The sequence below is a fragment of the Homo sapiens genome, chromosome 13 (genome assembly GCF_000001405.40).
Source record: "Homo sapiens chromosome 13, GRCh38.p14 Primary Assembly".
Taxonomy (NCBI): domain Eukaryota; kingdom Metazoa; phylum Chordata; class Mammalia; order Primates; family Hominidae; genus Homo; species Homo sapiens.
Window position 1 is genome coordinate 28,741,148 of NC_000013.11, and position 27,592 is coordinate 28,768,739.

General features: G+C 42.8%; 3 annotated features.

The window, feature by feature from the left end:
• Positions 50–139: a silencer, noted in NCBI's record as "silent region_5218". NCBI's record gives its function as "represses an Ori minimal core promoter by ATAC-STARR-seq in GM12878 lymphoblastoid cells {active_cell/tissue: GM12878}" and the evidence as "EXISTENCE:reporter gene assay evidence [ECO:0000049][PMID:35858748]".
• Positions 2,925–3,219: an enhancer, noted in NCBI's record as "tiled region #8918; K562 Activating DNase unmatched - State 9:DNaseU". NCBI's record gives its function as "activates a minimal TATA promoter and a strong SV40 promoter by Sharpr-MPRA in K562 cells {active_cell/tissue: K562}" and the evidence as "EXISTENCE:reporter gene assay evidence [ECO:0000049][PMID:27701403]".
• Positions 12,197–12,942: an enhancer, noted in NCBI's record as "NANOG-H3K27ac hESC enhancer chr13:29327481-29328226 (GRCh37/hg19 assembly coordinates)". NCBI's record gives its function as "activates a minimal SCP1, AML or CMV promoter by ChIP-STARR-seq in naive H9 embryonic stem cells {active_cell/tissue: H9 hESC(naive)}" and the evidence as "EXISTENCE:reporter gene assay evidence [ECO:0000049][PMID:30033119]".

Sequence of the window (27,592 nt, forward strand, 5' to 3'; positions counted from 1 at the left end):
GACACTTCTCTGCTGACCTCACATAGCTGTCACAGAGATTCCAGAACTATGGGCCTGAAACATGATCTACATATGCTAATCTGTACTCAGAGCCCAAGACATTGCAGTTTGCCACAGTAAGAGCCTCTCAGGCTCGTCTTGGGCATTCAGGGTGCACCTGCTGCTTCTGTCTTCCAGGATGGCTCCTCTCTCTGTCTGCTTACTGAACACAGTGTGGGCATTTCCCCAGCTTCTGGCTTTGGCTCTGGGCTCCTCTCACTTCCCCCTTTTCTGCCTCTTTTCCTCCTTTCTTTCCCTGCTGAGCTTACCCACTTATTGCTCTTACTAATTAGCCCAGCAACAGCTCCCAAATCCACCCCTCCCATGAATGCCAGGCCAGCATTTCCAACAGACTGCTGTCTTCTGTCAGTCAGATGAACAAATTCAAAAATGGAACCTTCTATCTCTTCCCCTTCCACTTCACAGCAGCATCCTCCCCTGAATGTCCCACTTTTGTAAACTGAAACCCTGTCTTTCAGGGACCCAAACCTGAAACATCAGAGTCTGCATCACACTCTCTTTTTATTAGTCCTTACACCCAAACAGAAATGAATGACAGTGGGCAGAGGGGACAGCTGTGGAGGAGCCATGGAGTCAGCTGCCTGGATTCAGATCCTGGCTATACCATGTCTGACCTTGAGAAAGTTTTTTTAACGTCTATGAATCCTAGAGTTTTTGTTTGTTTGTTTGTTTGTTTGTTTTAAATAGGCAGGGTCTCACTCTGTTGCCCAGGCCCAGGCTGGAGTGCAGTGATGTGATATTGGCTCACTGCAACCTTGGCCTCCCAGGCTCAAGTGATCTTCCCGCCTCAGCCTCCTGAGTAGCTGGGATTACAGGCGCATGCCACCACGCTCAGCTAATTTTTGTATTTTTTTATTGAGATGGAATTTCACCGTGTTGTCCAGGATGGTCTTGAACTCTTGTGCTCAAGCAATCCGCCTGACTTAGCCTCCCAAAGTGCTGAAATTATAGGCGTGAACCACCGCACCCAGCCTTAAAAGTGAGTTTTAACTAGTATTTTTCCATCTCCTACCTGAAAAACAGTCACTGAGATAATAATTTATTTTTTGTGTAATGTCCTTTCCCTTTAAGGGGTATTGAATAGTTTTTTAAATTATTTTTTAAAATCGTGGTAAAACACACAGAACAAAGTTTATCATCTTAAACATTTTTTAAGTGAATAGTTCAGTGGCATTGAATACATTCACATTCTTGTGCAACCACCACCAGCCGTCTCCAGAACTCTTTGTATTTCCCCACACTGAAACTCTGTACCCATTGAACAGCTCCCTATTCTCTCCTCCCCAAAGCCCCTGGCAACTACCATTCTACTTTCTCTATGTGTGAAGTTGACCATTCTAGGTACCTCATATAAGTGGAATCATACAGTATTTATCCTTTTGTGACTGGCTTACTAAACGTAGCATAATGTCCGCAAGGGTCATGCATGTTGTAGCATGTGCCAGAATTTCCTTCCTTTTTTTTTTTTTGAAATGGAGTTTCGCTCTTGTCGCCCAGGCTGGAGCGCAGTGGCGCGATCTTGGCTCACTGCAACCTCCACCTCCTGGGTTCAAGCGATTCCCTTGCCTCAGCCTCCCGAGTAGCTGGGATTATAGGTGCGCACAACCACACCCGGCTAATTTTTGTATTTTTAGTAGAGACAGAGTGTCACCACGTCTCTGAATCAGGCTGGTCTCAAACTCCCGACCTCAGGTGAGGAGGTCAACCCACCTTGGCCTCCCAAAGTGCTGGAATTACAGCCATGAACCACCGCACCCGGCCGAACTTTCCTTTCTTTTTAAGGTTGAATCATTGCATGGATGGACCACATTTTGTTTCTCCACTCATCCTGTCAGTGGGCCCTTGGGTTGCTTCTACCTCTTGGCTATTGTGAATAATGCTGCTAGGAACATGAGTGTGCAACTGTCTCTTCGAGTCCCTGCTTTCAAGTCTTTTGGATGTACACCCAGAAGTGGAATTTCTGGATCATATGGTAATTTTATATTTAACTTTTTGAGGAACTGCCATACTGATTTCCATAGCGGCTGCACTATTTTACATTCACGCCAGCAATGTACAAGGGTTCCCCTTTCTCCTCATCTTACACTTAATTTCTGTTTTTAATACAATTTTTTTTAAATATGAGGAATTAACTAGGTTTAGTCAGTGTTTCTCTAAACTTATTCTGAAAATCACTACTCAGAATCATCTGGAGGGGCAGGTGCTTATAAAAATGCAGACTCCTAACCCCACCTCAGACCAAGTAGGACCCCTGAGACTGGGGTCACAAAGTGTGATTTTGTGTGTGTGTGTGTGTGTGTGTGTGAGATACAGGGTCTCACTCTGTTGCCCAGGCTGGAGTGCAGTGGTGCCATGACTGCTCACTGTAGCCTCCAACTCCTGGGTGCAAACAATCCTCCTGCCTCAGCCTCCTGGGACTACAGGTGTATGCCACCATGCCCAGCTAATTTTTAAATTTTTTGTAGAGATTGGGTCTCACTGTGTTGCCCAGGCTGGTCTTGAATCCCAGCTTCAAGCGATCCTCCTGCTTTGGCTTCCCAAAGTGCTGGGATTACAAGCATGAGCCACTGTGCACGGCCTGAAGTGTGGCTTTTAAACAAGCTCCTATAGGCACTACCGCATTCACCCACAGGAAGGCCTCCTGCAGGTGGGGTTCTGGACATTATTAGCTGAGGGGAAGAGGGATAGGAAGGGGAGAGGAACTTCCTGGCCCCCTAAAGCTCCAGCACATAGGAGAACTCAAGCCACAGTCATCAGGATAATCTCATGTGTATTCAAAAGACACAGAAATTAAAGATTGCAATCATCCATATTGTTTCATCAAGTCTTCAGTCTTTTCAGTCATGATCTACCAAAAAAATCAGATCGAGGTCTGGAAGCATGACATTTTTAGCTGAGGAAGTGCTCTTGATCAAAAACCAGATTTTGACTGGCGATACTCAAGTGAAATACCCTATTATCAGCTTCCTACAGATCTCACCAGAGCCATTCTCAGGCATTAGGGAAGCAATCTCCATGAGGGCCACTTCCCCGGCCACAGCGCCTACTGTGAGATGAGTCATGCCTTTTGTCTTGTGCCTGGAATTTGGGGATGTTTATGAAAAGTTGATGTAAATACTAGTCATAATTCCTCTCTTCACAGATTCTTTATTTCAGAAAGTGAGTATTTCATCACGTACAAACGTCATATCACTTCCAGCTCCATTGCCACCTGGAAATGTTCTTTCTACTGTTTTACTAGGGATTATTTAAAGGCTGTTGGGAACCCTCCAGAGAACACAGTTTCTGGGATGTCATCAGTAATATTGAAACACACATTCACGTCAACTGTACTGTAGGGGAAAAGGGATATTTTTCCTTCCCATTATGGCTGAGGCCCTTACAAGAAAAAAAGACAGATCAATAAGAGAAAAGCATCCAAGTATGTTTGATATAAGTTTTACATGATGCAGGAGACTTTATAAGGAAACGAAGACCCAAAGAAACTAGTAGACCTGTGTATTTTTTATGTTCATTTTGATGAAGAAGTAGATAGTCATGGAGAAGTACAACTGAATAAAAAACAAGTATGGTCTGGTGGTAACGCAGTGCGAGGGGAACTCGGCAGAGTCTGTTCAGATTCCTCTCTGTGGTCCTGTGTCTTCAGAGATAAGGAAGTTCCTTTGCCTGGGTAGAGGGAGGGCACCTCTTGAATAACAGTCTTAGGTCTGCCTTCAGGGGAAGGCCTGAGACGCTTTTGCTGGTGCTATGGCCTGCTTCAGGGGAGAAGAGCGAGAGGAAGGTGAGAAGGACCTTCCTGTTGCTGTTGTCTCCAATGCCAAGGTGCCATGTTTTGGGGTAGTATGTTTTGGGGTTGTGTGTCTTGAACCCCATCATTAGCAATTTTATCTTTTGAGGGCCGAGTGGAGATTCTTGAGGTTAAGAAGTAAATGCTAATGAAAAGCAAAGTATCTTTTTTTTTTTTTTTGGCAGGTTCTCGCTCTGTGGCCCAGGCTGGAGTACAGTGGCACGATCACAGCTCGCTACAGCCTCAATCTCCTGGGCTCAGGTGATCCTACCATCTCAGCCTCCCAAGTGTCTAGGAATACAGGCACATGCTGCTATGCCCAGCTAATTTTTTAATTTTTTTGTAGAGATGAGATCTTGCTATGTTGCCCAGACTGGTCTCCCAACTCCTGGGCTCAAGCAATCCCCCTGCCTCAGCCTCCCAAAGTGCTAGGATTACAGACTGAGCCACCATGCCTGGCCCCAAAGTATCTTTTTAAATGCAGCCTCCTTGAGTTTGAGTACAACATCTATTTACTTACTTCATTTAAATTCTCAAAGCAGATGAGACATAATTAACACATACATCATGATGACATTTCCCATAGCACAATAAAACTTAACTTTCAAATTAAGCCACTCTGCTATTGAACATTAGCGTTTTAAGGTAAAGCATGATGGTTCATACCTTTTAAAAAAATAGAGAATGGGTCACATCAGCTTTCTCCCCCGGTGGCATCTCTCGGCATTCTACTGAATCCCTCAGACACAGGCACGAGAGTAGCCCAGATGAATGTACTCAAGCAGGACATAGTCCAGACTTCCCAGCTAGTCTCAAACAAAACAGCAGAATAAAAACCACAACATCCCATGGAATTTCTGTAAACAGACATAATGTTAAGCAAATGGCCATCTAACCTATGTGGTACTTGGCCAGTTGTTACAGGAAAGGGGTCCTGATCCAGACCCCAAGAGAGGGTTCTTGCATCTCATGCAAGAAAGAATTCAGGGTGAGTCCATAGAGTAAAGTAAAGCAAGTTTATTAGGAAAGTAAAGGAATAAAAGAATGGCTACTCCATAGACAGAGCAGCCCTGAGGACTGCTGGTTGCCCATTCTTATGGTTATTTCTTGAGTATATGCTAATCAAGGGGTGGATTATTCATGCCTCCCCTTTTTGGACCATATAGGGTAACTTCCTGACATTGCCATGGCATTTGTAAACCGTCATAGCATTGGTGGGAGTATAGTAGTGAGGATGACCAGAGGTCACTCTCATGGCCATCTTGGTTTTGGTGGGTTTTAGCTGGCTTCTTTTTTGCAAACTGTTTTATCGGCAAGGTCTTTATGACTTGTATTTTGTGCTTACCTCCTATCTCTTCCTGTGACTTCGAATGCCTTCACCATCTGGGAATGCAGCCCAGTAGGTTTCAGCCTTTTTACCCGGCTCCTATTCAAGATGGAGTTGCTCTGGTTCACATGCCTCTGACACAATGGTGATGGAGAAAGGAAAGGGAGTTAGAAATAAAATGATCGTTTTTATAGAGAAACCCAGTCCCTACAAACAGCATCCTGTTTTTGGGAAAAGCCCTGGGGGACAATGCCATAAACATTTCCCTCTCATTTTTCTTCCCATATTTCTGGTCCTGCCTGCTGCTTTATTTCACAAAAAGCATTAATTACATTTTGTCAGGAGTGAAAGGTCATTTTGTGCTGGTGGCCTGGCATGGAGAATATCAGGGACTGTGGAAATTCAGTGAGTCAAAGATGAAGGCGAAATTGATAGCCTGGGAAAAATAAGTGTACTGTTTATGGAAGTAAGCATTTAAAACTGATTTTTTTTAAAAAAATTGTACTTTTAGGAGCTATGGGGACATACTGAAATAGACTTACCCTTTTTAAGTACAGTTTCATTCATATAAACACATTGTTTTATAAAGGCTTGGAAGCAGATGAATTAATACTTGGGCATTTGGCGCTAATTTTACTGTTTAACAAGAGAGAGAAGGCAGGCTGGGAGGAGCCTGGATTCTCCTTTGTTCTGTTCATTAGAGGGCAGTAGCAATGACTTCTTTCACAGAGGATCTAAAACTCTGGAGAACAGGGTCTCTCAGATTTTAATGTGGCTGCATATCACCTGGGGACATTGTCAAATGTAGGTTTTCATTTAGCAGGTCAGGATGGTGCCTCAGATTCTGCATTTCAGACAAGCACTGGGCATCGCTGCTATTGCTTGATGGAAGGACCACACTTTGCACTGTGCTGTCTTGTTGTAGCATTACTGAACAAGTTGAATTTGCACCTCATTAAAATGACACTTGTGCTAAGAAGCAAACAGGTGCTTTGTATCCTCTTAGAGCTGCAGAGCAGAAAGCCCTGAAGGACAGGAAGACCAGGCCTTCTGGGCTGTTAACCTGCTTGGCTCTCTTATCAATTAACTGGAGTCCTTGTTTGGTTTGAGACTTAAAAGTGTGCTTTATACTTTCCAGTGAGGTTGCAGAGTGGAAACAAGGCTTGGTATGGATGGTTGATGATTCAACAGCTTCTCAGACACATTAGTGTTCCCCTTTTATTTTTTCTTTCTTGAGATGGAGTCTTGCTCTGTCACCCAGGCTGGAGTGCAGTGGCACGATCTTGGTTCACTGCAACCTCTGCATCCCAGGTTCAAGCAATTATCCTGTCTCAGCCTCCCAGGTAGCTGGGATTACAGGCCACCATGCCCGGCTAATTTTTGTATTTTTAGAAGAGATGGGGTGTCACCATATTGGTCAGGCTGGTCTCGAACTCCTGACCTCAGATCATCCACCTGCCTCGGCCTCCCAAAGTTCTGGGATTACAGGCATGAGCCACCGCACCTGGCCAGTGCTCCCATTTTATAGAGAAACACAGTCCCTACAGGCAGCGTCCTGTTTTTGGGAAAAGCTCTGGGGGACAAAGCCATAAACATTTCCCTTTCCTTTTTCTTCCCATATTTCTGGTCCTCCCTGCTGCTTTATTTCACAAGAAGGATTAGTTAAATTTTGCCAGGAATGAAAGGTCATCTTGTGCCAGTGGCTTGGCATGGAGAACACCAGGGACTGTGGGCATTTAGTGAGTCAAAGATCAAGGCCAAAGCCATGAAGTCCCATGTAGAGAGATTGCTACCAAATCTCAAAATCTGCCAGCACTGAGCTTTCATCTTTGCATAAGATCATTTTCTTTATTACTGGATGTTCATAAAGAGTCACAGGGCTGTGGACAAAATAGTCTCAAGTATTTTCTCTTCCTAAAATTCAAATATACCACCCTCTCTGTGACCTCGAGACCCATAGGCATCTGGCAACTTCAGGATCCAGTTGCAAGTTCTTAAACTGGAAACAGCATGGCAGGTTTCTGTTGTCCTTGTCTCTGTAGTCATTGGCCACTCACTGCCAGTTCCATCTGGCCCTTTCCCCATGTGCACATATACCTACTAAAACATTACCAATGTGAAAAGATAAATTGAGGCGCTTTAAAATCTTAAAGGGTGTATTTGTCTTATTCATAAACAGGGAGCTCCCTGTTTGTGGGGCTCTTGCAGTTTGGGGCTCTGGCAAAGGGGTAGGGGTCAGAGGTGGGGGAGAAGTCTTTTACAAGACCAGTTCACTCAGAAGCAAGACAAAAAAAAAATACTTGATTTGTTGAAGTACAGTAATAGCGTCATTTGGATTATTCCAGTGAAAAGTCCCTGGTTAGAGGTTGGTTGGTGGTTTCTGATTGGTTAACCCAACCATTGACATTGAGTTGGGTTCTGGATTGCTCACCTAGGAACCCAGGGCATGGGAGCAACCCCAACTTAATGGCCTCCTAATTAATTATTATTATTATTATTTTTTGAGACGGACTTTCACTCTTGTTGCCCAGGCTGGAGTGCAATGGCGCGATCTCAGCTCACTGCAACCTCTGCCTCCCAGGTTCAAGTGATTCTCCTGCCTCAGCCTCCCGAGTAGCTGGGATTACAGGCGTGCACCACCACACCCAGCTAATTTTTGCATTTATAGTAGAAACAGGGTTTCACCATGTTGGCCAGGCTGGTCTCGAACTCCTGACCTCAAGTGATCCATGTGCCTTGGCCTCCCAAAGTGCTGGGATTATAGGCATGAGCCACCACTCTCAGCTCTAATTAATTATTTTTAACACCTGTCATCATTCTTGAGTCCACTTTATGCAGGTCTTTAGTCTGAGGTGCACAAAGTTAAAAGGGGCCATTTTTGGTGACCCCATGCTTCCATATTCTAACATCCAATTTCCTTTACTCAATGCTATTTACTCAATGTCATAGTCATTAGGGCCACACTTAAGTGAATAGTGCAGTCTTCCTTTATCCTGGGCACATACTGCTCTGGCTTAGATGTGGTTTATCCCCACCAAAACTCATCTTGAAATTTGATCCCCAACATGGTCGTGTTGGAGGTGGGGCCTAATAAGATCTCTCTTGAATAGATTAATGCCCTACCAAAGGAGCGAATGAGTTTTCTCTCTCCACGGAATGAATTAGTTCCCACCAGAGTAGTGTTTGTTTGTTTGTTTGTTTGTTTGTTTGTTTGTTTTTTAATGAGACACTCTCACTGTGTTGCCCAGCCTGGTCTTTAATTCTTGGGCACAAGTGATCCTTCCACCTCAGCCTTCTGAGTAGCTGGGACTACAGGTGTACACCCTGTGAGAATGGGTTGTTCAAAAAAGTCTGGCTTCCTCGGTTTGTCTCTCTTGCTTCCTCTCTTGCCATGTGATGTTTTTGCACATGCTTGCCCCCTTCCACTTTCTGCCATGAGCAGAAGCAGCCTGCGGGCCTCACCAGATGCAGCTGCACAGTCTTGAACCTTCCAGTCACCAGAACTGTGAGCCAAATAAACCTCTTTTTAAAATAAATTACCCAGCCTCATGAGCTTAGACATAAACTAAGTTTGCATTTTGTTGTCTTTTTAAAAAATAAGCATATCATACCACTTGCTTTGGCCAATGAAATGTGCGTAGAAATTATATGAGACTTCCAGGAGGCAACATGAAGAGCCTGTGAACAATTCTGTTCTCATTCTTCCAGCATCGTGGGAGCATTTACCTAAGGGGACCCTCTGTCAGCCCATCAGAGTCCTTGGATGGTTGCAATGAGAAGAGTGCTCCCATCACCCATGAAACCTGTAATTCACACTGCATGTGGTCTGTGAGCCTTGAATAAGTGTTGTGTTAAGTCACTGAGGGGTGTGTGTGTGTGTGTGTGTTGGTGTTACAGCAGCCTAACCTATTTTATTCCAGCAAATCCACTGGCATCCAGCTGGTGGTGTAATCAACCATCTGTGAGTATACTGCCAGGAAACTACCCACTGGCATAGTCTTTATTTTCTATTGTAGTGTGGGGAGTGTTTAGGAGGGGGTGAGTTTTTCCAGGTTAAGGAAACAATGATCATAACCACCATGAGACATGATTTCCTCATCTTCTCAAACAGCTGGCAGTTCAGTCAAGAGCTGGAATGAATTCTTGTGCATGGTAAGGACTCCATAAATATTTGTTTATTAAAAAAATTGACGTTAACTGTCCACAACGCATTACTGCTCATTCCTCCAACACCTCCCTCAAGGGCATGTAGATACTGGATAGAGACCTAGCCAATCTTCAATGAGAGCTGGTAAAAGACTGCCAAGTATAGTTAAGCACAGAGTCAGATAACACCCTTCTGTAAAAGGAGGATAAACTCAAGAGCACAGGGGCTGTGTTTTGTTTGTTGGTTTGTTTTGTGGGAAGAATCAGGTACTTGACAATGTGGTGTTTTATTGTTTCTGTTCCACTCGGTCATTAATCTGGATCCCAGGCTGGTGCAGAAGCTCAGGCATTGTTTGGCTTTTTTCTTGTCAAGGCCCTGCCAGTTCTTCCAGTTCTTGACTTTCTGACCCGAATCCTCCCCCACATTTTCTACTCACCACATCTCACTTCTACTGCTATTACCAGGAGCTGGTAATGACAAATCTGGGCTTCACGTGGGCATTTTCTGCCATGCCTTTCTTCAGTCCTTCCTGAACTTGAAATTAATGTGAATAAAGAAAATACTCATTTACTCATTTTCCCTATTGTTTAACATTGTTGACTTATTTGCATAGAGTGCAATTCAGAAACGACACACGGCTGGGTGCAGTTTGGGACCAGCCTGGGCAACATGGCAAAACCCTGTCTCTACAATCAATATAAAAATTATCTGGGCATGGTGGTGTGCAACTGTGGTCTTAGCTACTCAGGAAGCTGAGGTGGGAGGATGGCTTGAGCTAGGGAGGATGAAGCTGCAGTGAGCCAAGATAGATTGTGCCACTGCATTCCAGTCTAGGTGACATAGTGAGACCCCGCCTCCAAAAAAAAAAAAAAAAAAGAAAGGGGAAAAAGGAAGAAAGGAAACGACATAACGATATATGTAAGACTGAAACTTTCTTGCTGCATGAGATATGGTATTGTGAAATGATTCAGATTTTGGCTTCTGAGCTCAGATTGCCTAGGTCCAAATCCCACTCTGGCACATAGCTGGGTGATCTTGGACAGCTCCCTCAGCCTATTAGTTTCTTCATCTGTAAAATGGGATGCTGATCGTGTATCTTTCATTGGCTATTGCTGTGTGCATTAAATGAGTTAGTACCTGTAAAGTCCTTTGAAAGGTGCTTGGGACATTGCAAGTGTTAAAAGCATTGTACCCTGCATAGGCCAGAAAGAAGGCATCAGAGCAGAGCCGACGGTACAGGCCATGTTGTCTGACCACATCTGTGGCCTCAGGCAAGGAAATGTCCTCTCTATGCTTCTGTTTCCTCATCTGGCAATGGGGACAATACCAGTACTTCCTTCAGAGGAGTTTTGTGAGGCTAAAATGAAATTGCATGTGTAAAGCTCTTAGCAAATAGTGTTGGCACATACAAAATGCTCCGTTGATACCAGGTATTTTATTATTATGATTTAAAAAATTCTCTGCATTTAAAGAAATCTGCCACCTCCTTTCCAAACACCCTATACTTTCCTCTTCTTTTGGAAGTATTCCTCTCATAGTTTGAAATATTTAATTCTTGATGTTGTCCAGTTTTTCTTTGAAGGGCTAGTTTCTTTGATCCAGGGAGATGCAGCATTTATGTTGGCTGTCAACAGGGCAACGCCCAGGAATTATTATTTTTCTAATGACCTAACGTCATTTTCCAGAAATTCTCTAAAAAACAAACTTCTTCGGGGACAAAATAAATTTGAGACTTCCATTAGTTCTTGCAAACACTTTATAACCCATCTCTCAGATGCTAACATTTTCCTGCGCATTCTGACCGGGTGCCAGAAATCCTATGGCTCTGACATCTAAAATGAGGATTGTTTGGCTGTTCTCAGTACATTCTATTTGTTCTGAGGTATATTTTGTACTGAAAGTTTAAAGGAATTACCTTGTATCTTATATTTAGCCTACCGTAACTTGTTTTTCTCTTCTATATATTTATTCAGGTTTGTTTCCTACTTTATTTTACAGTTATCACAAGGACACTACAAAGTCTCTTTTGTGAAATCGCCAAATGTTTCAGAATTCAACAGACATTATTAACTGTTCTTTCACCCTCCAAGAAACTCTACATTCATCTCAGTTCCCTGTATTGAAAAAGTCTCTGAAAAAAAGTATGTGGACATTTATTTATTATGAGGAAATCAGCATTTCTATTTATCTCTTAATTATTATAACATTTAATCATATTTGTTGGTTCAAGGTAAGTACTAATTGTGCTTCTCTCAAAGTATGAGCACTATATTTCTTCAGAAATAATGCTAAGCCTAGACAACAGGGCAAGACCCCATCTTTAAAATTTGTTTTTCTTCTTTTTGAGACGGAGTCTCGCTCTGTCACCCAAGCTGGAGTACGATAGTGCGATCTCAGCTCACTGCAACCTCTGCCTCCTCGGTTCAAGCAATTCTCCTGCCCCAGCTTCCCTAGCAGCTGGCATTACAGGTGCCCGCCACCACGCCCAGCTAATTTTTTGTATTTTTAGTAGAGATGGGGTTTCACCATGTTGGTCAGGCTGGTCTCGAACTCCTGACCTCAGGTGACCCACCCACCTTGGCCTCCCAAAGTTCTAAGATTACAGGCGTGAGCCACCACACCTGGCCAAAAAAAAATTTTTTTTAAGTTAGCTGGGTGTGTTGGTGCACACCTGTAGTTTCCAGCTACTTGGGAGGCTCAGGCCAGAGGATTGCTTGAGTCCAGGAGTTTGAGACTTCAGTGAGTGACGATGGTGCCACTGCACTCCAGCCCCTGGGCCACAGAGAGAGAGAGACCCTATCTGAAAAAAGAAAGAAAAAAGAAAAAGAGAAAGGAAGGAAGGGAGGAAGGAAGGAAGGGAGGAAGGGAGGGAGGAAGGAAGGAAGGAAGGAAAAGAAAGAAAGAGAAAGAAAGAGAGAAAGAAAGAAAGAAGGAAAGAAGGAAAGAAAGAAAGAAAATATTGATGGCCAGAGAGAGAGAGAGACCCTATCTAAAAAAAGAAAGAAAAAAGAAAAAGGAAGAAAGAGAAAAAAAGGAAGAAAGAGAGAAAAAGAAAGGAAAGAAAGGAAAGAAAGAAAGAGAAAGAAAGAAGGAAAGAGGAAGGAAAGAAGGAAAGGAAAGACGAAAGAAAGAAATGCTGAATGTTACAGATATTGACACAGACATTCCTACATTGGAATGCATATTCCCTCTGGGCTTTTACAGTTAGGGAAGTGCTGAGTCACTGCCTGGCGTACTCACATGCCTGTAGTTTATAAGCCAGCCACATGCTGGCAGAAACAGTGTAGAACCAGTGGGCCATGTGGACCTCTTGCCACCCACAAGCAAGGCGGGTGACAGGGCAGAGAGCTCCTTAGCAGTTACTAGCAATGGCTCGCTTGGTTGAAATAATTTTTTGAAGCTTTTGACAAATAATATAAAGATTACTAAGAAAGCCTGGCGGTTTGCAGCAAAAATTATTTGCTTGGGCAAACTTTAGTCAGGCTCTGGAATCTTCTCCTAGGGCCTTCTATGCACTTCCTTGTAAAATCTAGTTTTAGCAAAGAACCCTGCTAAGTCAGTTAAGCAAGAATCCCCCACCTACAATATCTGATCACCTTCATGTCTGATTGGGTTCTTCTCCCTCCACCAGCCCCCAGGCGATGTCTGGTTTCCTGGCCTGTCTTCAACAAGAATCCTGTTGTTGGTTTAGCTAAAGTCTTTCTCAGTCCTGAAGTTCCCTCTTAGTGATTTTCCCTCCACCGACCCCCACCCTGCTCCTTGGCTATACATTCCTACTTGCTCATGCTGTATTCAGAGTTGAGCCCAATTTCTGTCTCCCACTGCAAAATCTAATTGCTTGGTGGTCCCTATACCTATAGCGATGGTCCTGAAGAAAGTTGGCCACACCATGCTTTAACAAGTATCACTGGGTCATTTTTTTCTGTAACAGTGACTACATCACATGGCCTCTGACAGTCGCCGGACTCCTTAGAAGGGAGCTCAGGAGAAAGGGGAAACACAGGGCAGCTGGGTTCACTGGGATTAGGAATAGAAGCAGCGTGCTGGGCATCTAAGGGCAAAGATGAAGCTGGGTATGTAATCTACCCAGGAGCCTCTGTGTAAAATATGAAAGAAGAAAGACATGCCAGGGAAAGGGTGGAGCCGGCTAAAGGCCATGGGAAGTTGGACATGATGGCGTGGGAGAAAGTAACTTTAAGAAGGATGCATTGAGATACAGCGGCAGCTAGCGTATTTTGATAAGCAGTCTGATATTTGGGAAGATAGAGTGTACGTGTTCAGGAAGCCACAACTCTGCACGTCCATTCGAGATAGACTACCCGGTTCCTCAGGCCCACGGCTCCGAACTGCCCCCGTGGATGGTGCTTCGAGTACGCCTCCACCAGTGGGCAGTGTGGTCCACGAGGATCAGGCCATTCTAGCCAACGGTAGGTTCTTCCTGTGGAGCCCTGAGCAAAACGGGACGGTTTGAGAAGGGTTTTATTTCTGGGTCTCTGTTCTGCGGTGTTCGGTGCCTTAACTGGATGCCCCCGCATCCCAGAGCCAGCCGGCCATCTTCTGCAGTGATGCTGTTCCCCGGGGGAACGGAGCCCAGCCCTGAAGCTCAGCCGCAGGAACAAACGCCCTGGCTCCTGCGTGCCATTTCTGCCCTCTGCTGCTGCAGTGGCCTGAGGTCTTCGGATGGCCGCCTGCACTCCGCCTCTTCTTCCTGCCGCCTCCTCTCCTCAGGCCCTTGCTTCAAAGTCCTCCTCCCCTTCCTTTGCGCTGATAACATCGAGCAGAGCCGGCTCCATTTCTGGGCTTTTTACTGCCTAACTGATCCTCTACACTGTGCTAAGGAGAAGCTATTTATTTTTTTCTCAGGAAACCTCAATATCTAGGTGGGAAAGGGCAGGTTTCCTGGAAGAGCACTTCTAGAAAGAGCACCCCCTCCTAAGAAACAAAACAAACTTTTAATCTAGGTACTTCCTGTTTCCTCCGTTTAAAGCACTCCCCCATCTGGCCAGAGCCTTGTAAAAGTACTTCAAAGACTCAGCTGGCCGGGTTTGGACTCTAGGCTTTTTCCTTTTAACTCTTTGTGGTTTACTTTAATTGGGCTTTTAGTTGTCCTACTAAATGGTTTGTGGCTATTAAAGGAGCAAGGTTATGAAATCCTCGTCAATTCCGCTAAAACTCTTGTACGTATCCAATCTTGACGCATATATTATGTCATGCAGAGGGGAACACGTGGTGTGTCCAGATGTTACTGGGGCAAAAGGCACACAGTGGATGCTGGGGTCACTTGTAAATGTAAATATTTATATTTATTTATTAAAATTTCCAAAATGCATACCCATTCCACTTTACTTGAAAAATTATGCTATTTTCTATTTCTCCTTGTAGTTATTCTCCTTGGGAGGCACAAACCATGATGGCACATAAGAGTCTCAAGACGACCAGGCTGGCCAACATGGCAAAACCCTGACTCTACTAAAAATACAAAAGAAAATTAGCTGGTGTAGAGGCGCAATCCCAGCTACTTGGGAGGCTGAAGCAGGAGATTTGCTTGAACCCGGGAGGCAGAAGTTGCAGTGAGCTGAGACTGCACCATTGCACACCAGCCTGGGCGACCCAGCGAGACTCTGTCTCAAAAAAAAAAAAAAAAAAAAAAGAGTCTCAAGATTAGGGAATCACTTCTTAGATACAAATGTTGCTTTTTTTTTTTTTAATTCCACTTTATAAAGTGAATCTTTCTTGGAGGGAACATGTGACGGAACTAGCCATCAGGTAAACCTCATTATAAATTAGTCTATTGGAGATTGGAAAGATCTTGAAAAGAGACATGAGAAAGGTGCACCTTTATGCACCTGGGCAGATTCCTGCCTCACAGCGCCTCATTTTCCTGTAGAAAAGTGGGAAGGATGACTATCTCACAAAGGTTGAAGATCAAAATCCAAAGGAGATGATGAATGGGACAGTGCTTCATCAAACTTGGATGCGCTAACCAAAGGTCAAGGCTATTATGGTTTTAACAGCAGCAGAGGAAAGAGGAGGCTGGAGAGAGGAGAATGAGCCTGGGAGTTCCACACCAGCCTGAGCAACATAACATAGAGACCTTGTCTCTACAAAAAAATTAAAAAATTATCTGGGCACGGTGGTGCACACCTGTGGTCTCAGTTTCTTGGGAGGCTGAGGTGGGAGGATTGCTTGAGCTCATGAGATTGAAGCTGCAGTGAACCATGATCACGTCACTGCACTCCAGCCTGGGTGATAGAGTGAGAACGTGCCTCCAAAAAAAAAAAAAAAAGAATAACCAAGTTTAACAATTTCTGTGGGGTCTTCATGTAAAGTCTTCATATAAAACTTAAATACATTTATATGCTTTTCTCTTGTTAATCTGTCTTTTGTTACAGGGGCCTCAGCCATGAACCTAGGATGGGTAGAGAAAGATATTTTTCTTCCCCTACACCTGTGTTCCACCTATTCATTCCTCCCTTCCTTCTCTCCTCTACTCTCACTGATTTTTTGGTTACTATTTTTAAAAACATATAACATGAAAGATACCATCCCAACCATTTAAGTGTACAGTACAGCAGTGTTAACTACATGCACCCTGTTGTGCAACAGACTTCTGAAATGTTTTTAATCTTACAACTCTAAAACTCTACACCCACTAAACAACAATGCTTTTCCCCCTCACACCAGCATCTGGCAACCACCATTCTATTTTTAATTTCTAAGAGTTTGACTACTTTAGATACACATATAAGGAGAATCATGCAGCATTTGTCTTTTCTTGACTGGCTTATTTCTCTTACCATAACATCCCGACAAGTTTCATCCATGTTGTAGCATATAACATGATTTCCTTTTTTGAGGCTCAATAATACTCCTTTGTAGGTATGTACAACATTTTCCTTATCTGTTTGTTCATTTATAGACATTCAGGTTACTTCTGTATCTTGGCTATTATGAATAATGCTGCAATGAATAAGAGTGTGAAACTATTTCTTTGAGATCCTGTTTTCAGTTCTTTTGGAGATATACCCAGTAGTGGAATTGTTGGATCATATGGTAATTCTATTTTTAATTTTTTAGGAAAACTTGATATCGTTTTCCATAGTGACTACACCATTTTACATGCCTACTAACAGTCCACAAGGGCTCGAATTTCTCCAAGTCCTCACCAACATCTGTTGCTTTCTGTTTTCCTGATAGTGGCTATTCTAATAGGCATAAGGTAATAACTTAATGTAATTTTGATTTGCATTTCCCTAACAATTAGGATGTTAAGTATATTTTCATGTGCTTGTGGGCCATTTGTAGTTCTTCTTTGGAGAAATGTCTATTCAAGTCTCTTGCTCATTTTACATCAGGTTATTTGCTTTTTGTTGTTATTATTGAACTTAGGGCTTCTTTATATATTCTGGATATTAATCCTTCATCAGATACATGGTTTGAAAATTTTTTTTTCCATTCTGTAAGTTGCCTTTTCATGCTGTCAATTATTCCCTTGCTGTGCAGAAGTATTAAAGTTTGATGTAGTCCCATTTGTCTATTTTTGCTTTTGTTACCTGTGCTTTGGTGTCATGTCTAAGATCCTTGTAAAATCTAACATCATAAAGCTATTCCTCTATTTTTTGTTGTAGAAGTTTTATAGTTTCAGGTGTTATATTTAGGTCTCTAATACATTTAAGTTAATTTTTGTTTATGTTTTAAAGTAAGGGTCCAACTTCATTTTTTTACATCTGGATATCCGGTTTTCCCAGGACCATTTGTTGAAAAGACAATCTGTTCTCCATTGAGTGACTTTGGCACCCTTGTCAAAGATCATTTGAGCATATATGTGAAGGTTTATTTCTGCATTTTTCTGTTCCTTTGGTCTATATGTCTGTCTTTATGCCAAAACCATACTGTTTTGATTACTGTAGCTTTGTATTCTGTTTTGAAATTAAGAAGTGTGAGGCTTCCAGCTTTGTTTTTCTTCTTCAAGATTGTTTTGGCTATTCAGGGTGCTTTGATATTTCATATGAATTTGAGGACTTTTTTTTTCCATTTTTGCAAAAGAGGCCATTGGGATTTTGATAGGGATTGCATTGAATCTGTGGATCAGTTTGGGTAGTATGAACATTTTAATAATATTAATTTTTCCAATCCATGGACACAGGATATCTTTCCATTTATTTGTGTCTTCTTTAATTTCTTTCAGCAATCTTTTGCAGTTTTCAGTGTACAAATCCTTTGTATTTTTAAGTTTATTCGTATTTTTTTCTTTTTGATGCTATTGTAAATGGGATTGTTTTCTCACTTTCCTTTTTGAATTGATTATTGTTTAGTGTAGAGAAACACAATTCCTTTTTGTATCCTGCAACTTTGTTGTATTTTAAAATTACTTCTAATAGTTTTTGGTGGAATCTTTAGGATTTTATACATATTAAAATATATCATCTGCAAACAGAGATTTTTACTTCCTTCTTTCCAATTTGGATACATTTTATTTATTTTTCTTGCCAGATTGCTCTGGCTAGGAATTCTAGTGCTACGTTGAATAGAAGTGATGAGAGTGGGAATCTTGCCTTGTTCCTGATCTTAGAGGCAGTTTTTCACAATTTCTATGGTGTTAGTTGTGGCCTGTTTACATATGGCCTTTATTATGTTGAGATAATTTCCTTCTCTTTCTAGTTTGTTGGGTGTTTTATCATGAAGGGTCTGAATTTTGTGAAATGCTTTTTTTCTGTATAAATTGAGATGATTGTGTGGTTTTTTTTGTCCTTCATTCTTTTAATATGGTGTGTTACATTGATTGATTATCATATATTGAGCCATCCTTGCATTCCACAAATAAATCTCACTTGGTTATGATGTATAATCTTTTTTTTATGTGTTGTTGAATTTGGTTTGATAGTTTTCATTGAGAATTTTTGCATCAATATTCATCAGGGATATTGGTCTGTAGTTTTCTTTTCTTTTCTTTTCTTTTCTTTTCTTTTCTTTTCTTTTCTTTTCTTTTCTTTTCTGAGTCTGAGTTTTGCTCTTGTTGCCCAGGCTGAAGTGCAATGGTGCAATCTCAGCTCACTGCAACCTCCACCTCCTGGGTTCAAGCGATTCTCCTGCCTCGGCCTCCCAAGTAGCTGGCATTATAGGCATGCAACATCATGCCCTGCTAATTTTGTATTTTTAGGAAAGATGGGGTTTCATCATGTTGGCCAGGCTGGTCACAAACTCCTACCTCAGGTGATCCACCCACCTCAGCCTCCCAAAATGGTGGGATAACAGGTGTGAGCCACCACGCCCAGCCAGTTTTATTTTCTTATAGTATCTTTGTCTGATTTTGTTATCAGAGTAGTGGGGTCCTGAAAAAATGAGTTTGAAAGTGTTCCTTCCTCTTCATTTTTTAAAGAAAAGTTTAAGAAGAATTGGTGTTAATTCTTTCTGAAATATTTTGTAGAATTCTCCAGTGAAGCCATCTAGTCCTGGGCCAATGTAATTTTTTGATATTGGATAATGCAATGTGTCTACATTTAAAAGGTCTCTCTATACTATTGAACTAAATTTTCCAACTGACCAATGAATGATGTTATAAAATCATGCATGGGCAAAAGAGTCCTTCAAAGTGCAAGATAGACCAACGAATTTTAATGTAACAGAGTATAAAAAGTTCATTCATATAGTTTCTTTTTCTTCTTTTTTAGCTTCTACCTTGCTTGCTCTAATATATAGTTTAGTATCAAAAAAGTTTAGTATCCAAAAAGAATACCCAGATTTATCTGAAAAGACTATTACAAATTATTCTTTCACAATCACCTATTTGTGTGAGGCTGGATTTTCTTCATGTACTTTAACCTGAACAACAGATTATAACGGATTGTGAAAACAAGGTATTGTAATGTTGAAGAAGGCAACATTACATGCCTGTAATCCCAGCACTTTGGAAGGCTGAGATGGGTGGATCACCGGAGGTCAGGAGTTCAAGACCACTCTGGCCAACATAATGAAACCCCGTCTCTACTAAAAATACAAAATCAGCCAGGCATGGTGGTGCATGCCTGTAATCCCAGCTACTCAGGAGACTGAGATAGGAGAATGACTTGAACCGGGAGGTAAAGTTTGCAGTGAGCCAAGATCATGCCATTGTACTCCAGCTAGGGCAACAAGAGTGAAACTCCACCTCAAAAAAAAAAAAACGTAAATAAATAAAAGTAAGACTTAAAAAACCCTTGCCTAAAAAGTGTTGTCAAATAGAAACTAACAATTTATTCTCATCTTTCTGTAATGCCACATGGCTCGTGTTTGTGTGTGTGTGTGTGTGTGTGTGTGTGTGTATGTGTGTGTGTCCATTCATTCTTTTGCCCTTGTTATCTTATTACTAGGCATATAGTCTAAGAAACAGATTCTAAGGAATACTAAAAGACCAATAGGAAATTCAAACAAATATGTTTATCATAGCACAATTCATAATAGTGAAAAATTGAAGCAACCCAAGTAACCAATGAATAGCAAATGTCAAGCAGACAATAGTACATCAGTATAATAAAACACAAAGTAACCATGAATATGGAAGTCTACAGATGATATTTAAAAAATAAGCACACATAATAGTTCATAGTATAATCATTGATTATTCTAACACTATAAAAATTCATGTTTGAATATAGATCAGAATGAGAAATATTTTAGTTAAGTAGATGTTTTTTTTCCTTAAAGTAGTTATGTGCACATTAACATTTATAAATGACAGACAACCAGTGCAAGAATATTAAATTCTGGATACCAGAAGGGCACACAAACAGGCAAGGTGAACCATTTTAGTGTTGGCGGAGGCCTCTCTGTCTCCACTTTGGCCTCCCATTTCCTCAAAGTCTGGCCAGGGGGAGTAGGAGGGCAGTGCAGTTGTGGGGGTCGACAGGCAAAGGCACTGACTGGGGTCCATGAAGAGGAGCAGCAGAAGTTGGGGCACCAGCCAGGGATGCTTGGTTGACTTGGCAGTACATCAGACTTCATCTGGTCTCCCTGCTTCTTCTTGGATTGGCGGGGCATAGGGGTTTGCAATCCAACCCAACCAGATTAATCACACATTTATTGAGTGCCTACTGTGTACCAGGTACTCTACTAGGCCTTGGAACCAAAGGTTGACTAAGACATGGGCCCTGCCCATAAGCAGCTCTCAATCTAGACGAACATAGCCAGATATCAGGCAATCTCTATGAGCCGTGAGTGCCTGAAATGGGCAGGCACTGATATTTTTAGATACTTGAAGACAAGACATCCTGAAAACCCCCACTGATGAATAAGTTTCAAAATTTTTAGAATAATTGACTCAAGCTGCTCACAGGTGGCCCTGCATCTGTGTCTCAGTGACTCACTCCATTCCAGAGCACCTCGGATGGAAGCCTTTGAAGAGGCTCAGAAGGGGGAAAAGACCAATGCAAACCAAAACAGCAACAACATAAACAGGGCAGCTTCGTCACAAATTGTATGACCTTTTGGAGGAAGATGAATGAAAATAATTCTGTTTCTGAAGGGAAATGTGATGATTTGTCTTAAAATTGTTGTTCATCCTGCAACAACAAAAAAATGAAGATAGTGCCAATGAAACTATTTCAAGGTCATCTTTGGGAGCCTAAAAATTGATGCACAAGCATGGAAGCACACAGAGCAAGGAGAGAAGTCTGGGTTTTAAGCTCTTCTCTACTAACTAGCTGTGTGGCCTGGGGGAGCCACTTCCTCAATTCCCTGTTGTCAAATATTATCTTCCTCACTGGAGAATTGTGAGAATACATAATATGGGATTGTGAACTGTAAAACAGAACAAAAGTGTAGAATGGCCATTGCAGTAGCAGAGCCTATAAAGTGTTCTGTAGTGATGATAAAAGCAATGGTCATCTTTCCAATGCTGTTTTTCCTAAGACTCCTTGCATGCTGTTACATAAAATAGCTCAAACCAAGCACAAAGCTTTCAGTAAGCATTTTGGACTCTGCCCTAAATTCTAATTAATCCTGAGTCTTGGCACTTGGAGGGAGTGATTCCAAGTTTTCTGGGTGAAAAGTAGAACAAACTCATTAGCAAGTGCCAGATATGGTCCTCAACCCCGTCTGGTGTGGTTTGCTAGAGGGCGCTGATGATATTTCTGGTGTGTTTGATGCTATGAAGAGAGTTGTCATTAGGAACTCCTGCCCAGGTAACAGAGGCTGACACCTGGAATGCAGATGCAACAGGAAAGATGAAGGCGGGATGAGGTGGTGTTGGAGGGATGGGCCATGCTAGTGACTCACTCACTCTGACATCCTTAGCAACCTGGGACATCCCAGTGAGGGCAATAGCTGCCTGGGGTCTCCCAGCCCCTCAGTGTTGTAAATAATGCCACAGGTCTCTGAGGAGGAGCGGGGAGGGGAGGGTAAGGACTGTCGAAGCAAACTGAGAAGTCAGGAGCTTGTCCCCGTGCCGACTCCTCTGTCCATGCTGGCCTAGACACCCACAGCCTTCCATGGGGCAAAGGTTCTAGAACCAGGAGTGTGGCAGCTTTGAGCTCAAACCTTCTACTGGTGTGTGCGTGTGTGTGTTTTGTGTGTGTGTGTGTGTGTGTGTGCATGCGTGCACGCACGTGCATGTGCACGTGTGTGTAGGGGCCTGGTACTCACGGGAATCCAGTTAGGAGACTAGGCATTGGCTGAGAGGAGCTCCAGAGTGAGGTCAGCATGCCCAGTCTGCCCAGGGTGGGCAGAGGTTTCAACAGGCTGGGCAGCAGCCTGAGAGCCTGGCAACAAGTCCTGACGGGGAACAAGTCCAGATGCGGCTCCAGAACAGGCCCTGAGACCTGGGCCAGGCTGAGAGGGGAGACGGGAGAGGTCCTCTTTCTATTCAAGATAATTTATAAATTTCCAAATTCTTGACCGCATCATTCCAGTTGTAATGTGCATGCCCCCAGAAGGTGCTTAAGGTGGTGTTCTTCAAGGGACAGCCCCCAGATGCAAGCATCAGAAGCACCCGGATAACCCCGATTAAAATGTCTACTTTGATTTTGAGGGTGTAGGGTGGGGCTCAAGCATGCGCACTTTAAACAGGGACTCCAAATGCTTCTTTTTGCATAAAGACTCCCCCTGCAGATAAATATCTTAAATGTCAAGACAGGAAGATGGGCAGATATTTTTTGACCTAGCTTTTCAGTATTCCTCAAGTTACACTATATTAGTTGTTTACTCCATCAAACCTTGAGAGAAAAATATGTTTGAGCATGGTAGAGAGTTGCATAACATTTCTCATTTCCTTTTCCCTTCTCATATTCAGTGCAATTCCTGATTTTCCAGTGAGAATTCCTAGCTTGGAGTCATGGATATCACCTGCCCCACCTCCGTCATCTCCCAGCAGGAAACAGAAACTTCATCATCAAGCATGTATTAGTTTTCTACACTGTGTAGCAAATTACCACAAACTTAGAGGCTTAATGCTCCCCGCCATTTATCATCCCACCATTTTCATGGCTCAGGAGTCCAGGCACGGCTTAGCTGGGGTTCTGTACCACAGGCTGCAATCAAGGTATTAGCCAGACTGTGTTCTCATCTGGAGCTCAGAATTCTCTTCCAAGCTTTCATGATTGTGGGCAGATCTCACTTCCTTGTGGTTATAGAATGGAGGGTCTCAGCTTCTTACTTGCTTGTGGCTGGAAGCCACCATCAGATTCTAGAGGTGCCTGTAGTTACCAGTCACATGGTCCTCTCCATAAACAGTCCACACCATGGCTGTTTGCATCTGAGACTAGCAGGAGAATTTCTCACTATACAGGCAGCTAAGACGAGGTTTTATGTAATATAACCTAATCGAGGGAGTGAAGGCACATCAGCTTGGCCGTATTGGTTATGTATTAGTTGGCCAGGGCTGCCATGACAAAGTAACACAGACTGGGGGGCTTACACAATGAACATTTATTTTCTCACACTTCTAGAGGCTAGAAGTCTGAGATCAAGGTGTCGGCAGAGTTAGTTTCTCCTGAGGTTCTCTCCGTGGCTTGCAGTGGGCCACCTTTTCCCTGTGTCGTCACATGGTCACCCTCTGTGTGTGTCTGTGTCTGAATCCCTTTTTCTTTTGCTTTTTTCTTTTTCGAGATGTAGTCTTGCTCTGTTGCCTAGACTGGAGTGCAGTGGCATGATATCAGCTCACTGCAACCTCTGACCACTGGGTTCAAGCAATTCTCCTGCCTCAGCCTCTCGAGTAGCTGGGATTACAGGTGCCCACCACTAAGTCCAGCTAATTTTTGTATTTTTAGCAGAGATGGGGTTTTACCATGTTGGCCAGGCTGGTCTCAAACTCCTGACCTCAAGTGATCCACCGTCCTTGGCTTCCCAAAGTGCTGGGATTACAGGCATGAGCCACTGTGCCCAGCCTGAATCCCTTTTTCTTATAAGGACACCAGTCACATTGGATTAGGGCAAACCCATATGGCTTCATTTAACCTAAATCACCTCTCCAGAGGTCCTATCTCCAAATACAGCCACATTCTGAGGTACTGAGGGTTAGGACTTCAACATACGAACGTTGGGGGAACCCAATTCATCCCATAACACAGAGTAATGTGGGATATATGAGAAAAGAAAAAGTGCGGTAAATGCGACAGTAAGGAAAATACAAGATGCCTTGGGGAAATTCCTGGGAGGATGGTCAGATCCAGACTTAGGCCAGGGTCAGATCCAGAATTTAGCCTTCCTGGAGGAGCTGAAATCTAAGCTTGGACATGAAGCATCAGAAACAGCTAACAGGATAAAGAGGGAAGGGACCAAGTGTCCAGGCAAAAGGAATAACATCCTGACAGTTAGGAATGATTTTAGATTCAAGTAAGAGTATATCGCATTGATTAAAAGTGACTTGAAGCAGTTGGAGTCTATTTTCATCACATCCTAAGGAGGTGGCATAGGAAACTTCTGGCCTTGGTTCAGCAGACTGATGTCAGGTGGCACCCCTGTGATTCTCTTGGCATGTTCCTTACAGTCACAAGATAGCTATTCCTGCCTGATTATCATTTCTGTGTTCAAGGCACAAAAAATCAGGGAAAGTTATTAGCAATGTCTATCCTTTTAATCAGGAAAGCAAAACCTGTCCTAGAAGCTTCCAGGAGACCATGGCTTAACTTCCATAGGTTAGACAGTGTCACAAATGGCTCCCTTAGCTTCAAAGAAGGCTGAGAGCAGGAGTGTTTTGCCATCCCAGACACTGTTGTGGAAGTGGAAGGGAGATAGAAGCTGAGAGTGAATGTATCAGTCCATCAGGGTGGCCATAAGCATTGAAAGGGCTGAGTGTGAAGGAAAAAGCCTTGTTTAGTGAACTGACAGTGGTTAGTAGAGTCAGAGGATGGACTCAAGTGGGAGAAATGGCAAGTGTAGGGATGGGGTCATGAAGGAGAGATTAACAAGTTTGGATTTTTACCTTGAAGACCTCAGAGGATGTCCCAGTTATCTATTGCCATGTAATAAACTACCCCAAACTTAGTGGCACCAAACAGTGACCATTTTGTTATGTGCAGATTCTGTGAGTCAGGAATTCTGACAGGCACAGCAGGGATGGCTTGTCCCTGCTATATGGTATGTGGAGCCTTAGCTCAAAGACTGAATGCCTGGACATGGCTCAAGTGGCTGGGGACAGGGTCATTGAAGACTTCTTTACTCACCTGTCTGGCGCCTGGGCTGGGATGGCCTGAAGGTTGGAATCAACTGGGCTGTGAACTGGAGACCACCATGTGGCCTCTCCATGAGGTTGACTTGGGCTCCTTCCAGTGTGCTGCTGGGTTCTGAGAGTAAGTGTCTGGAGACTGGGCATATCAAGAGACCCAGGCTGAAGCTGCAAGGCTCCTTCCACCCTAGCCTTGGAAGCCACAGAGCACCATTTTGGTTCTGATGCATCCTCTTGGTTATGTGGAAGCCATTCAGAGGCAGCCCAGATCCAAGAGAAGGTGAATTAGCCTCCACCTCTTGAAGGGGGAGAGGCAAGATGACATTGTAGAGCAGCATGTGGATGGGAGATGTGGCAGCCATATTTTGAAAAGCCCATATGCCCTCAGGGGTGACTGAAAGGTTTTAGGCAAGGGTAATAAGTTTAGACTGTGCTTTTAGAAAAATCATAATGTCTGTAGTTTGAGAACTAGTTGGAATGGTCAAAGACTGTAGGTGGGGAGATGTGGTAGGAGGTTGGCCTCAGTAAATATGGTAGGTGTTGCATCTGGACAGCCTGGAGAGCTATTTTGCAGGTGGAATCACCAGGACTTAGGACTAAGTAAATGAGAGGTTTGAGGGAGAGGAGGAGTCAAGGTTCAGGATTAAGCAGCTGGTAACCGGTGCCTTTAACCAACACAGGCACACAGGAATAGGGCAGATATGGGAGAAGACAGAAGGCTCAATTGTGAACATTTGACTTTTGAGTTTCTGTGAGACATCCAATAACAGTTTTCTAATCATTGGTTATATGGGTTTAGTGTTCAGAAAAAATTTCTGATCTAGAGATATTGATTTGAAAATCATTAATTTAGAGTCAGTAATTGAGATGTTGAGAGAAAATGAGATTTACCATGGATAGAGTATAGAATGAATGAGAAAAGAAATGAGGGTAAACAGAATTCTGGGGGGCACCAACATTTAAAGTCCAGGGAAAGAAGTCTATAAAGGAGGTAGGTGAGTGGTCAATGAGGTAGAAGAATGTAGTAGGTTGATAATAGCTTCCAAAGATAGGTCCAAATTCCTAGCATGTTACCTTATTTGAAAATGGGTGTTTGTAGATGTGATTAAGGTAAGGATTTTAAGATGAGGAAACTATCCTGGATTTATGGATAGACCCTAAATGCCATGACAAATATCCTTATAAAAGAGAGGCAAGAGGGAGATTAGATATGCACAGAAGAGAAGGTGATGTGAAGACAGGGACAGATTAGAGTGATGTAGCCACAAGTCAAAAAATGCCTGGGGCTACTAGAAGCAGGAAGAATCAAAGAACAGGTTGTCCCTAGAGCCTTCAGGGGGAAGATGGTCCTGTTGACACCTCGATTTCAAACTTTTGACCTCCAGAACTGTAAGAGAATAAACATCTGTTGTTCTAAGCCACTTAGTTTGTGGCAATTTGTTACAGTGCCCCTAGGAAATTAATGAAGATGGAAATCAGGACCGTGTAATACCATGGAAACCAAGGAAGAGAGGATTTTAAGAGGACGAGTGGTAAATTCATTTAACAAATAGTTTTGGGAATACTGTATGTAGCAGACCCTGTCCAAGATGCTGAAGATGCTGTCCTCATGAAGCTTACATTTATTATTATTATTATTTTAAAGTGAAAACGAGCATATTAAGAAATTAAAGGAATAAAAGAATGGCTACTCCACAGGAAGAGCAGCCTTGGGGGCTGCTGGTTGGCTATTTTTTATGGTTATTTCTTGATTAAATGCTAAACAAGGAGTGGATTATTCATGAGTGTTCACAGAAAAGGGTGGACAATTCCTGGAACTAAGGGTTCCCCCAACCTTTTAGACCATATCGGGTAACTTATGGCATTTGTAAATTGTTATGGCACTGGTGGGAGTGTCTTTTAGCAAGCTAATGCATTATAATTAGCGTATAATGAGCAGTGAGGACGACCAGAGGTCTTTCATTACCATCTTAGTTTTGGTGGGTTTTGGCCGGCTTCTTTACCACAGTCTGTTTTATCAGCAAGGCCTTTGTGAGCTTACCTTGTGCCAGCCTATCTCATCCTGTGACTTAGAATGCCTAACCTCCTGAGAATGCAGCCCAGTAGGTCTCAGCCTCATTTTACCCAGCCGCTATTCAAAATGGCATCACTGTGGTTCAAACACCTCTGACATATTTCCCCCTTCCCTTTTACAAGGGAACCCTTAATCCTAAGGGTTGTAGAGAGACAAAGATCCATCTTCTGTAACTTCTTCAGGCTAGAGAGGGGTGATGATATTCCTGCCTAACTGTTAGGGTCTCTTGTATTCAGGGTAGAGAGGAGCTCAGTCAGAAAGCATGGGTGTGTCGAGGACTGCTCATAACTCTTGAGTTCCAACAAAAGGTGATATCTGGAAGATTAATAATTGTCCAATTTAAGAGAACATTGAGTAAGCTTATCCTGCATTCCTACACATAGAGTACAGCAGCAATATATTTTACAAGAGTAAAGCAAAATAAGTAAAACTATCCCAAATAAACTAAATAAGAACGCTTTCCATGAACTGGGTAACTGTTGGAACCAAGCTGATATGGGGTTGCTAGCTGATTCCAATATGTGTCCAGAATTAGAACACTAATCCAAATTGTTACATTA